We start from the raw sequence: 12,267 nt of genomic DNA on the forward strand, positions 1-12,267 counted from the left end.
GAGATGGGATTTCACCCTGTTGGCCACACTGGTGTCAGACTTCTGACCCCAAGTGATCTGCCCACCTCGGCCTCCCAAAGTGCTGGGATTATAGGAGTGAGCCACCGCGCCTGGCCCACTTTTTTTTTTTTTTTGTAGAGACTGGTTTTGTCACGTTGCTCAGACTGGTCTCAAATTCCTGGTCTCAAGCAACACTCCCGCCTTAGCCCCCACTGTGCCAGGCCCAACCCCAGATTTAATGGCTAATTTAACTTGCCATTTGACCCAGGACCAGGGAAGCAATATGGGTGGAGAAATTTCCCTCCCACTCAGAGTCGCTTCCTCCTGGCCCTGGCTCTCCTCTCACTGGGTACAGAACGGGGTTCCCAAAGAAGCCTCCGACTTAGGGTCAGTTTCCTGGGCCAGAGCAGTGAAGGGACCAGCCCCCCAGAGGAGCCCTGACCTGCTGGGGAAGGGGCTGGGCTGGGGCCACCAGCAGGAGGTTGTTGGGGAAGAAATTGAAGCCCAGCCAATGTGGGCCCAGGTAGGGGCCTCAGGGATTCCAGTCAACAGCTTCTGGGACAGCCGGGCGCGGTGGATCACGGCTGTAATCCCAGCACTTTGGGAGGCCGAGGCGGGTGGATCGCCTGAGGTCAGGAGTTCGAGAGCAGCCTGGCCAACATGATGAAACCCCGTCTCTACTAAAAATACAAAAAATTAGCTGGGCGTGGTGGCACGCGCCTGTAATACCAGCTACTTGGGAAGCCAAGGCAGGACAATTGCTTGAACCCGGGAGGCGGAGGTTGCAGTGAGCCGAGATGGCACCACTGCACTCCCAGCCTGGACAATAAGAGCAAAACTCCGTCTCAAAAAAAAAAAAAGCTTCTGGGACTGTGACAGGGAAAGAAACCCTCATCTCCACCCCTAAACACATCAGACACATGACCACGCTAGAGACAGCATCCAGAAAACACACGTTTACCCGTACGTTCCTGATACGGCCCCGGCAGTCACAACTCCAAGGCCCCTTCACCAATGAACCCCAGGCTCTCGGCTGCCCCAACCAGGGCGGCCAGCCTGAGAAGTGTGGCACCAAAAGGTGGTAGGAGCGGCTGGGGAGGGAGGACCAGGACTGGCACAAGGTCATGATGCTGGTGAGTTGGGGGCCATCAGCCCCAGGGACAAAGGCCACTTGACAGACCTGGAGGTGGGGTGAGCCCCCAAATGCCGTGAATTACTCAGGGAGTGGAGGGGGGAGACACGGCTCCCCCCTCCACTCCCCTTCAAGTCATGAGGCCTGAGATGGCTCCAAGTGTCGCCAGAATGGGGCGGGAAGGAACCTTAGGTCCACCCAGCACGTGGCAGGAGGCAGGATCCATAAATTAAATGTTTTTGTGGAGTGTGATGGCTTGGGATGGGACATCCCGGAGGCCTCGCAACGGCATGGCGACTGGCAGGACGACGGAAGCTACTCAGTCCTCCAGGACGGATGGGCGAACACGATGGGCCTCTTCTTGGCCCAGCGGGAGAAGACCGCCTTCTCAGTGATGAAGCGGTGGGCGCTTCGGGGCGCCTGCTCGTGTGCCAGGTACATCTGACACTCATCTAGCCGGCCCTTCTCAAAGTAGTGGTAAGGCACTGAGGGGTGGCTCTTCTCCCTGCGGGGTGGGGAACAGGGCTGGGGTGGGACAGAACCCACTCGCCTCCGGCCACACCCTGCCGCCTACCTTGACCACCCCTCGCCAGGCCCATGGGCTCGTGAAGACCCACGCCTGATCCCTGGGGAGGCCAAGACACATAGGGGAGTAGCAGATCCCGAGAGCCAGGGTTCGAGTCCTGGCTCTGCCTCTTGCAAGCTGGATGACTCTGGGCCAGAGATGGACGCTGTGAGCCTCAAGAGCCCGTGTGTAAAACGCAGATGGTCACATCCGCCTTCCAGAACAAGTGCGTAGATCAAGAGATGGAGACTGCAGGCACCCTGCTAGTGGTCCTGGGCTCCTGGTGAGGGAGGAGCCCCTCATTCCCATGTCACAGAGCCACCAGCCCTGCACGCCCACCTCCCCATCAGCATCACGGGGGCCAGCCGTATGGCCAGGGCCATGGCTGGGGCACAGGGACACCTGTCACCTCGGTGACCTGTTGTGAACTCGTTAGTTTCCATAATATTGAAATATAATAATATAGGCTGGTGCGGTGCTCACACCTGTAATCCCTGATCCCTGGGGAGGCCAAGGCGGGAGGATCACCTGAGGTCAGGAGTTCCAGACCAGCCTGGCCAACATGATGAAACCCCGTCTCTACTAAAACTACAAAAAATTAGCTGGGCGTGGTGGCACGTGCCTGTAATCCCAGCGACTAGGGAGGCTGAGGCAGGAGAATCGCTTGAACCCGGGAGGTGGAGGTTGCAGTGAGCCAAGATCGCGCCACTGCACTCCAGCCTGGGCAACAAGAGCAAAACTCCATCTCAAAAAAAAAAAAAGAAATATAATAATATAACAATGGTACAAAATCATACCATAAACATATCTGAACTTGATATCATGCTGGTATTATAATATCAAATATTATATAATATCAAAAATCACATATAATATCAAAAATTAAAACTTATATAAAACATATCACTGATATATATATATATATATATTTAGGCCCTATATATATAGGCCCTGACTGTGGTAAGCACTTTTGTAGATTATTCCCTCCCTAAATGTTTCAACAACCTTCCAAGTAAGATGTGGTTCTTTTCTCTATTTTCCACATAAGGAAACAGAGGGTCTGCGGGGTGGCATGACTGGCCCGTGAACAGCCTGTGACCACAACAGCCACACTGGGGTTGGTAAGGCAGCCTGTTTGACACTGAGCTCTTTCCCAAGGCCCAGAGCGCAAGGGGTATCTGTGCTATGGTCACCCACCATGAAGCCCACACTCCCTCTGCCCCCACAGCTCCCAAATCCTCTGGTTTAAGGCCTAGGAGGGCTCACAGTCCTCCCCGCGTCCCCGCGTGCCCGGCCTGGCCGGTCTGACCTGCAGTAGCTGTCGCTGACCATCCCATAGACCACGATCTCCTCACACAGCTCCAGCGCGAGGATCATGGTGAACCAGCCGGTGCTGAGGAAGGAGCCCGACTGCCTCCTGGGGGTGGCGGGGGGACAGGGGGACGCTGTCAACAAGAGGCCATGTGGTAGCTCCAGGCCCCAGCAGCACTTGGTACTTTGCCAGCCCGGGGCTATGCACCTCAACCTCTTGCGGGGGGCTCTGGGGGAGGCTGGGGAGGGGACAGAGCCAGCCCAAGGCCAGCAGTGGGTGACAGGCAGAGCGGCACACAAACCCAGGCCTGATCACCTCCTCAGCACCCAGCGGGGCTCGGGCCCAGCTACGCTTTGCAGGGTTTGAGCAAACCCCTGGATGATGGGTGTGGGGGCTCTGGCCACGTCCTCTCCTCATCTAAGGGACCAGGCCTGGGGAGACAGCATGAGGCAGCAGGGCACCGTGGTTTGAAGTCAGGTGGGGGTTCTCTAGAGTCCAAGGATCTTCCACTTGAACCCTGGCTCTGCTATGGGCATCACATTTGCTCGTGAACCTCTCTGAGCCTCATGACCAGTCTGTGAAGTGGAGATAATTTTAGGGGGTTATAGGGAGGGAACACTGTCAGCCCAGCCCCTGCCCGCATGCCCCCATGCCCCACTCAGAGCAAGGGGCTAGGTGGTGGCCCCAGCCTCAGCTCCCTGGAGGCAGCAGCCCTGGGTACTCTTGCAGCCAAGGGCCACCCCTCTCAACCTCTACAGAGCGGGTATGAACTGGTTCATTCATTCAAACTGAGCCCCACCCAGGCCCTGTGCTGGCCCAGAACCTACCTCATCTGGTGCTAACATTCCACGGAAGCACCAGATGGGAAGGGAAGGAGAAAAATAGATAAACAAGTAGCTAGGAGACAAATCTCTAAGCAAGATGATGGCAGAGGGTGACACCTGCTGCCAAGACAAGGAAACAAAGGAATGGATAAAGAATGCCAGGGCGGGAGGCACTCCTTCTGATGGGGTGGTCAGGGCGGGCTTCCCTGAGGAGGTGACCTGAGTAACAAGAGGAGCCTGTCATGGGAAGATCTGGGAGAAGAACATTCCAGGGAGAGGGAACAGCAGGTGCAAAGTCCTGCAGGTAGAAATAGGCATGGATGTCTGAGCCCCAGACGGCCAGTATGGGTAGAACAGGGAGACTGAAGGAGACACAAAGTCACAGAGGCAGGCAGAGGCAGGATCACGCAGGGCAGGCAGGCCAGGAGTGGTGGGGGCGGGAAGCCTAAGTCAAGGTGGCAGCCATGGGCCATTGTACGTGGCAGATGATGATACGAGAGGAATCAGAGGCACAGCCCAATTTTCTGGGGGATACACCAGAGGCTGACTGTTCTATCTCCTGAGCACAGAGGCCAGTGGAGAGCAGGTGTGTGGAGGAGGGGCTGGCAAGAGTCATGAGTGTGCTTTTGGATATGACATAAAATGAAACCTTGAATGCGGAGTGCTTCACCCAATGCCTGGTGAGCAAAGAGGGCTGTTATTGCTCTGTTTTGTTTTGCTTTTTGAGACAGAGTCTCGCTCTGTCACCCAGGCTGGAGTGCAGTGGTGCGATCTTGGCTCACTGCAACCTCTGCCTCCAGGTTCAAACGATTCTCCTGCCTCAGCTACTCTCCTGAGTAGCTAGAATTACAGGCATGCGCCACCACACCCGGCTAATTTTTGTATTTTTAGTACAGATGGGGTTTCACCATGTTGGCCAGGGTGGTCTTGATCTCTTGACCTCGTGATCCTTCCACCTTGGCCTCCCAAAGTGCTCGGATTACAGGCGTGAGCCACCGGGCCTAGCCCTAATTTTTGTATTTTTGGTAGAGCCCAAGGTTTCACCATGTCAGCCAGGCTGGCCTCAAACTCCTGACCTCAAGTGATCCTCCCGCCTTGGCCTCCCAAAATGCTGGGATTACAGGCGTGAGCCACCGCACCCGGCCTCTAACTTTTATTATCCAGAAGGGATATCAGAGACCAAGTTAGACAGACCATTCCCTCCAGAGAGAAGTGCTCCCTCATGCCCCTACACACTGGCTAGTGCTTCCCATCAGGTGCTCAAAAGGCCTGACAGCCCTCAACACCATCTGGGATTCTAGATCTGTGTGACAGTTTCCTGAGTGACATCCCCTCTGCCTCCTGCCCCCCATTAGAGGGCAGGACCATGTCTGCCTCCATGAGTGCTGACCTCCCGGGCCTGACAGAGCAGCCCCTGATGGACAAGAGACTCCCAGAGAAGGAAGGCCCCAGCTGCCAGAGAGACCCCAGCAGGCAGGCCCCAGGCTCACCGGTTCTTGCCCGTCTCGTCCTGGAAGATCTGGTCGCAGTAGGCCATCATGCGCTCCGTGAAGGTGTACACCTGCAGGCCGGGGTACATCCTGGTGAGCTGCAGCAGCGTGCGGTAGGTGCGGCCGCCGAGCACCCGGTCCATGTGCCTGCCCTGGCCCCACACCATGTAGAGCGTGTCTCGGGCCTTCTGGAAGTAGTGTGAATAGTTGCGCAGCAGCAGCGGCACGCTTGTGTGTGAGACGACACGCAGGGTGCTGCGCTGGCCCACATCCGCCTCAAAGCCCACGGTGGGCGCCTGGTTCATGCGGAACACGCACTCGGCACTGTCGATCTCAGCACCCAGGCCTGAGCCCAGCATTTGGCCGGAGCTGGACACCACGGCACAGCTGCGGCAGGGCTCGCGGACCAGCGGCTGCAGGGCAGGCAGGGAGAAAGAGACAGAGAGGCATGAACACGCAGCTTACACCCCCTGCAGCTCCCCCTGGAATATCCACCAATCTTGCTTGATCAGGTATCGGCTTGAAGGACTGTTATGAACCCATTTTGCAGGCTGGGCAGCAGGGATGACTTTCCCGAGATCACAGTGATACCCAGTGTCAGAGCTAAGGTTCTGCACTCAGCCCCCACTTCCTCATCAGCCATATTTGTGGTCCTTATTCCTGTTGCTGCCTCTGAGGCCCTGTCTCTACGTAATGAGTCCTTATGAGGTTTGCTTGAGCAAATAGTTATAAAACACTTAGAACAGTGGCTGGCGCAGACTGGAGGTCATATAAGTATTTGTCAAGTAAACATGAACCTCAGCTCTTCAGAATCATTCTTAGGCCACTCCCTCCCCTGCACATGCCTCACCCACACTGTGCCCAGTTTCTAAGTAAGAGCAGGGTCATCAGCGCCCAGGACAGCTGTGGGACTCCCTGGTCCTGAGCCTGAATCCTGGCTCTGCCCTCTCCTAGCTATGTGGCCTGAAGCCAAGTCACCGGCCTCTGTGCGCCTCAAGTCTCTCATCTATAAAATGGGGAAGAAAACAACATCTGGGCCGGGAGCGGTGGCTCACGCCTGTAATCCCAGCACTTTGGGAGGCCAAGGTGGGTGAATCACCTGAGGTCAGGAGTTCGAGACCAGCCTGGTCAACATGGCAAAACCCCATCTCTACTAAAAACACAAAAATTAGCTGGGCGTGGTAGCACACGCCTGTAATCCCAGCTACTCAGGAGACTGAGGCAGAAGAATCCCTTGAACCTGGGAGGCGGAGGTTGCAGTGAGCCGAGATTGCGCCACTGTACTCCAGCCTGTTGACAGAGTGAGCTCTTGTCTAAAATAAATAAACAAATAAAAATATAAATACAAAAAAAAGAAAAAGAAAAAGAAAACAACATCTGGCCGGGCACGGTGGCTCACACCTGTAATCCCAGCACTCTGGGAGGCCAAGGTGGGTGGATCACTTGAGATCAGGAGTTCAAGACCTGCCTAGCCAATATGGTGAAACCCCATCTCTAAAAATTAACCAGGTGTGGTGGCATGAGCCTGTAGTCCCAGGGCAGGGCTAGGGCAGGCACATGGACGGGGTGCTCGGCGGCCACACCTACTGCACACTGCTGCAGCTCACCAGGATGTACCCCGGCCTGCAGGTGTACACCTTCACCGAGCGCATGATGGCCTACTGTGACCAGATCTTCCAGGACGAGACAGGCAAGAACCGGTGGCGGGAGGCTGAAGCATGAGAATCACTTGAATCCGGCAGGTGGAGGTTGCAGTGAGCTGAGATCGCACTACTGCACTCCAGCCTGGGTGACAAAGCTAGACTCTCTCTCTCTCAAACAAACAAACAAAAAAAAACATTTCTTGGGCGGGCGTGGTGGCTCATGCCTGTAATCCCAGCACTTTGAAAGGCCAAGGCAGGCAGATCACCTGAGGTTGGGAGTTCGAGACCAGCCTGACCAACATGGAGAAACCCCATCCCTACTAAAAATACAAAATTAGCCAGGTGTGGTGGTACATGCCTATAATCCCAGCTACTCGGGAGGGTGAGGCAGGAGAATCGCTTGAACCTGGGAGGCAGAGGTTGCGTGAGCTGAGATCATGCCATTGCACTCCAGCCTGGGCAACAAGAGCAAAACTCCATCTCAAAAAAAAAAAAAAAAATCTCTTTTTAGAATCTAGGGCTCAGAGCCGAGATCGCGCCACTGCACTCTAGCCTGGGAGAAACAGAAAGACTCCGTCTCAAAAAAAAAAAAAAAAAAAAAAAAAAAAAGAACCTAGGGCTCAGAGAGGTGATGTGATTGGCCAGGATCACATGGCTGGTGAGTAGAGGGGCCAAGCTCAAGGTCCGGTTTGGGACAAGCCCAGCTCTCACTACCCACCCCGGATGCATTGCCTGGCCCACTCACCTTCCCATCTGGCACACTGCTATATCCACTGAAGTGCAGGGGTCCCGGCACAGTGGGCCTGGAGCCTGTGGGGAAGTGGTGGTCCAGGCAGGTGGCCAGGCAGAGGGGCAGGCCGGCCCAGCAGCACAGGAGGATGTAGACGGCAGAGAAGACCACGGAGCACAGGATGATGAGCACGAGCCGACCCTGAGGGAGACAGTGGCCATGGGGGGGTGTATGTGGGGAGGGGCTCCCAGAAGCCCCTTCAGCGCTGCACCTGGCCTCCTGGGTCTAGAGAAGCTCCTGGGTCTAGAGCAGCTCCTAGAACAGCAGCAGAATCCAGTCTCCATCCACTGGGCCTTACCTGGGGATGCCAAGCTCTGGGCACATAAGGCCCCGGAGATAACACTGTTATCATCCCCACATTCTAGATAAGGAAAGCAGTTTGGAGTGAAGTGTGTAGTACAAGGCCATACAGCAAAGAAGCAGCACAGTGGGGCCTTAAATACTGGCTGGAAAGCCCATATTCCTAACTGGAGGCTAGGGTGTACTGTGCGACCTATGGCTCTCCATCCCTCTGGGCCTGTTTCCTCCTCTACAAACTGGGGACTGATAATGCCCACCGTGTGAACTTACGGGAGGGGGGCAGTGAAAGCCTTCTGTATACTGTAAAGTGCTGTGCACATGACAACGGGAAAGTGGTGCCTCAGAAGGGCCACCAGCCCCTTCAGCCTAGGACCAGGGCTGCCTAGTGTGGCCCCGCCTCCTCCCCACCCCCAGCTGACTCAGTGGCTGTCCCCTGGTGATCCGGATCTGGGTCAGCAGGCCAGGTGGCACAAGGAGATTGGAGCAAAGGTCACTCAAGAAATGGTTTTAATAATTGAAAAGCTGGTGCCTGGAGGCTACCGCCTCCAGAAACCATGTGCCAAAGGCCATTGGAACCAGGAAGCTCTTCTAGCCATCTGGCCTAGACCCAGCCTGGGGCTGGTCCTGCTGGCAGACTTAGTGAATGCCCCTACCACCACCAAGCCTCCCAGGAGGGGAAGGGCTTGGTGGCAGCAGAACTGTGGGCTAGTCACTGGGTAGTGGGCCACCCTGGTCACCACGTGTGTCTCTCTGGGCTCCAGGTTTCTAGACTCGAGGCACAAGTCCCTAGGCCACCCTTCAGAAGCCACCAAGCAGTTGGCTGGTGCTCTCCAAAAATCAGAAGTGGGAAAGTGGCCCCCACCCCCTACCCCATCACCCCACCTGCCCCGGCGCATCCTGCCTGAGGCCCACCATTTTCTGCCCGCAAGCTACGTCAGCTTCTAAAAATAAGTCTTTTCTGTGTGGCCAGCTGTGCAGGGGAGGGAGTTCTGCCTGGCACCTGCTCCCCTGCCCATGAGGAACCAGAGACCTTGACTCAGGCAGTCGAGATGAACTGCCCCCCACATCCAGCTCTCTCTCTCACAGCCCGGGGCTTCTGCAGTAAAGACAAGAGCGGCTGAACTGAACTTCACAACCCCAGTTCCACGTAGGCTTTGCCTGGTGAGCTCGTAGCGTTACCTCCGTTTTACAGGGATAGCAAGGTACTGACACTGCAGAGTGGATGCCACCTGCCTGGGGCCACACGGTCTGCAAGAACAGGGTTGGACTTTGAGGCCATTCTGCCCTTCTCTGCTCAGCAGTAGGGAGGTCAGAAGTGGCAGTGGGTCCTGGGGTGGAGAGGCTGCTGAGCTGCTCCGCCAGTCGGGGCCTCTGCGTTCCCTGGAAGTCCTCCTTCTTCCCACTTACCGGAGCCTTCATGCTGTCGCTGTCCCTCAGTAGTCTAGGGGCTGCTGTCTCCAGGGCTGGGGCTGGGAAGGGGTGGGAGCCGGGCACCTGCCAAGACCCAGAAACTCAGAGCCGGGAGGGGTAAGGCAGGTGGGGTTCTAAGCTATAGGGAAAACTGAGGCAGGAGAGGGTACAGGCCGGGGTGAAAGCACATGGCACCCGGGAATCCAACCCCTTGACGTCTCCAAACACCGGAAGGCAATGTCCCCATCCTAAAGGAGCAGGAATCAGCGACGTTTGCGAGACCTCCTGCCAACCCAATTCCCAGTGCGCAGATGGGGAGGAAGAGGCAGCGAGGAGGCGCCCCCAGCTCAAGGTCACCCATCAGGTCTGGGGCAGAGAGAGCCAGAAGCCCGGAATTCCACCCCATCCATCCTACCTCTCTACCCGGGGGACGAATGGAGAGGCCGGGCGAGGGCAGGACGTAGGTTTTTCACCGCCCTTCCAGATTCCACTGCCGCATCTCCCGGCCGAATGCTAACCGGGCGTGCAGGCTGGGGTTCGCAGGAGGCTCGCGATCCGCCGCTCGGAGCTCCATGGCCCCCGGGCCGGGCCGACTGGGCTGGAAGCTGATCCGCGCGGCCAGAGGCAGGGGGCGGGGCCGGGGCCGGGGCCGGCGAGGAGGGGCGGAGACTCGCGCGCCGGGGGCGGGGCCTGCGCGCCGCAGGCGGATCCTACGAGCGCGGCCTGCGCGACCTGGGGAGGGCTCTGCGCGGCCGGGACGGGGCGGGACGTGAATGGCTGGCGGCGAGGCCTCCAGCTAGGGGCGGGGCCTCAGGGCCGGGGGCGGGGCTTCAGAGCCGGGGCGGAGTCTGAGTACCAGCATCTCCCTTTTCGGTCCTGCCGAATTTCCAGCAGGCTCCTGCCTGGGCGAGGCTGTCGGGCCGCAGGGGAAAGAGACCTAGAGGGTGTCGGGGGCCACCAGGCAGTGGCGGCCTGGCTGTCCGGACTTGAGTGTCTCCATTTCTGAAATGGTGGTTGGGGAGGGAAATTAAGCAGGGCTTCGGGTCAGGCAGCCCACGTTTCAACTGGTAGGATTGCTGCATTTATCAAGTAAGATACAGAACGCCCAGTGACATTGGAAATTCAGATAAACAACGAATACATGAGTTATTTTCAATATGATTATTTTATTATGATTATGTCAGTGTGACAGTCACCTGAGTCTGTTTTTCTCCTCTGAGACACACGTGTAGAGGCAGCTCCTGTCACAGCCAGGATTCGAACCCAGGAAGTTTCACTCCAGACCCGGGGCTGTGACCACCTACTCTTACCTCTCGAAGGCTCCCTCGCTGGAATGTCCTCCAAATCCAAGTCAAGTCAGCTCAGGCCCCAGGCAGATGCTGCAGTGTGTCCTATTGGGGTCCCTTGGGATCTCAGAGGCAACTGCCTTCAAGCGCCAGGCTGGTGGCAGAAAGCACTGGGACAGTAGCAGGGGTGGGCCTATGGGGAAGTGAGAGGGCACACTTCCTGTCTAGGATTTTTTTTTTTTTTCTTTTGAGACAGAGTCTCTCTCTGTTGCCTAGGCTGGAGTGCAGTGGTGCCATCCTGGCTCACTGCAACCTCCGCCTCCTGGGTTCAAGCGATTTTCAGCTAACTTTTGTATTTTTAGTAGAGACAGGGTTTCACCATGTTGGCCAGGCTGGTATCGAACTCCTAACCTCAAGTGACCTGCCTGCCTCGGCCTCCCAAAGTGCTAGGATTACAGGCGTGAGCCACCACGCCCAGCCCTTGTTTATGATTTTTTGTGCAAAATGTTGAATTGGCCAGAAAGATCATTTCACCATCCCAACCACACCCACCTCCTCTGCAGGGAGCTAGCCTGGGAACCAGCTTGGGCTCCTGCCCTGGTCTCCATTTCAAACTCCTTTTTCCTTTTTCTCAGAGGCTCAGGCCTGGGCAGGATGCCAGGGTATCTGTCCCCAGCTCAGCAACCTTCCCAGTCTACCCTGCTCCAGGTTCAAAGCCAAATCACCCCTGGGCCTGGTGCTCTAGGCCTCAGTGCCTCCCCTATCCAGGGGCTGGGAGGAGGGCTGCTGTAGTGGCCCTGCCCCCTAGGGGCCTCCTTTGAGCACAAACTCTCCTGTCACTGCCACTCCAGCCTGGACACACATGGGGAGTAGTGGTTCACGCTCAGTCACCATGGCCCCTCACTCACACAAGGCAGTGGGTCCCCAAAGCCAGAGCCCTTTCCTCTCAGTCCTCGTTCTTCAAGTTTCTTTCCTCATAGGCCCAACCCTGAGGGCACAATGGTGAGAAGTTCCCTATGGATTCACTCACTGCCCACAATGGCTGGTGAGGTGATGATTCCTTCCCCGGAGAGGCAACTCCATCCTTGCTAGGGCCACATGGAGACAGGGACATGCCCAAATGGCCCGTGCTCCCAGGGTAGATGAGGATCATAAGTCCACAGTAGAACTGTGACCAGGAAGTCCCACAGCCCCAGATAAAGATCTTCACTTTGCTTTTGGCAAAAACCTACTCTGCTTACCACAACCTACACGATCCTACACAGTGTGAACTCCTTCAGTCACCCTCCACCTGCCCTGGCCACCCTCCGACCGCCAATCATTACTGAAGCCATTCCTACTGCAGGGCCTCTGCCCTCACTGTGTCCTCTGCTGGACTGCGCTAGTCATATGGTGGCTTCTCTTACCATTCAGCTCAAGCATCACCTCCTCTGAAAAGCCCTTGCCAGCCACCCTACCCAACGCTGCACCCCAATCCCTCTTGCCTCACCCCGACTCAGTTTTTCATAATATTTG

The 12,267-nt window shown here is 56.6% G+C and overlaps 1 protein-coding gene and 1 long non-coding RNA gene across 4 annotated transcripts in view, besides 5 other annotated features; both read right to left on the reverse strand.

The window, feature by feature from the left end:
* ST6GALNAC4-ST6GALNAC6-AK1 (ST6GALNAC4-ST6GALNAC6-AK1 readthrough) overlaps window positions 1-10,097 on the reverse strand; it is a 50,556-nt gene extending 40,459 nt beyond the window's left edge. Inside the window, exons 1-4 of one of the 2 annotated variants that reach the window (NR_174625.1) lie at window positions 9,882-10,097; window positions 9,464-9,550; window positions 7,712-7,897; window positions 5,324-5,736 (exon numbers count right to left, since the gene is read on the reverse strand). This is a non-coding gene — a long non-coding RNA (ST6GALNAC4-ST6GALNAC6-AK1 readthrough). The remainder of the gene's footprint in view (window positions 1-5,323; window positions 5,737-7,711; window positions 7,898-9,463; window positions 9,551-9,881) is intronic. The other variant, NR_174624.1, reaches the window with a different exon arrangement.
* ST6GALNAC4 (ST6 N-acetylgalactosaminide alpha-2,6-sialyltransferase 4) lies at window positions 942-10,097 on the reverse strand. Of its 2 annotated transcripts, NM_175039.4 has the most exons (6): window positions 9,882-10,097; window positions 9,464-9,550; window positions 7,712-7,897; window positions 5,324-5,736; window positions 3,007-3,114; window positions 942-1,637 (listed from the first exon to the last, which is right to left on the reverse strand). In NM_175039.4, the coding sequence occupies exons 2-6, from the start codon at window positions 9,473-9,475 to the stop codon at window positions 1,448-1,450; spliced, it is 909 nt and encodes a 302-aa protein (NP_778204.1). In that variant the 5' UTR covers window positions 9,476-9,550; window positions 9,882-10,097; the 3' UTR covers window positions 942-1,447. The 2 variants fall into 2 exon arrangements, with proteins under 2 accessions (NP_778204.1, NP_778205.1); NM_175040.4 differs by lacking the exon at window positions 9,464-9,550.
* Window positions 4,280-4,489: an enhancer, noted in NCBI's record as "active region_29058". NCBI's record gives its function as "activates an Ori minimal core promoter by ATAC-STARR-seq in GM12878 lymphoblastoid cells {active_cell/tissue: GM12878}" and the evidence as "EXISTENCE:reporter gene assay evidence [ECO:0000049][PMID:35858748]".
* Window positions 8,465-8,574: an enhancer, noted in NCBI's record as "active region_29059". NCBI's record gives its function as "activates an Ori minimal core promoter by ATAC-STARR-seq in GM12878 lymphoblastoid cells {active_cell/tissue: GM12878}" and the evidence as "EXISTENCE:reporter gene assay evidence [ECO:0000049][PMID:35858748]".
* Window positions 8,645-8,804: an enhancer, noted in NCBI's record as "active region_29060". NCBI's record gives its function as "activates an Ori minimal core promoter by ATAC-STARR-seq in GM12878 lymphoblastoid cells {active_cell/tissue: GM12878}" and the evidence as "EXISTENCE:reporter gene assay evidence [ECO:0000049][PMID:35858748]".
* Window positions 8,885-9,064: an enhancer, noted in NCBI's record as "active region_29061". NCBI's record gives its function as "activates an Ori minimal core promoter by ATAC-STARR-seq in GM12878 lymphoblastoid cells {active_cell/tissue: GM12878}" and the evidence as "EXISTENCE:reporter gene assay evidence [ECO:0000049][PMID:35858748]".
* Window positions 9,987-10,346: a silencer, noted in NCBI's record as "silent region_20317". NCBI's record gives its function as "represses an Ori minimal core promoter by ATAC-STARR-seq in GM12878 lymphoblastoid cells {active_cell/tissue: GM12878}" and the evidence as "EXISTENCE:reporter gene assay evidence [ECO:0000049][PMID:35858748]".

The sequence above is a fragment of the Homo sapiens genome, chromosome 9 (assembly GCF_000001405.40).
Source record: "Homo sapiens chromosome 9, GRCh38.p14 Primary Assembly".
NCBI classification, from domain to species: domain Eukaryota; kingdom Metazoa; phylum Chordata; class Mammalia; order Primates; family Hominidae; genus Homo; species Homo sapiens.

Coding starts and splice junctions, on each gene's coding strand:
- ST6GALNAC4 (NM_175039.4), bottom strand. Junction 5,737..7,711: donor GCAGTGTGCCAGATGGGAAG/GTGAGTGGGCCA, acceptor CCTGCCCTGCAG/CCGCTGGTCCGCGAGCCCTG. Junction 3,115..5,323: donor GACGAGACGGGCAAGAACCG/GTGAGCCTGGGG, acceptor CGCCACCCCCAG/GAGGCAGTCGGGCTCCTTCC.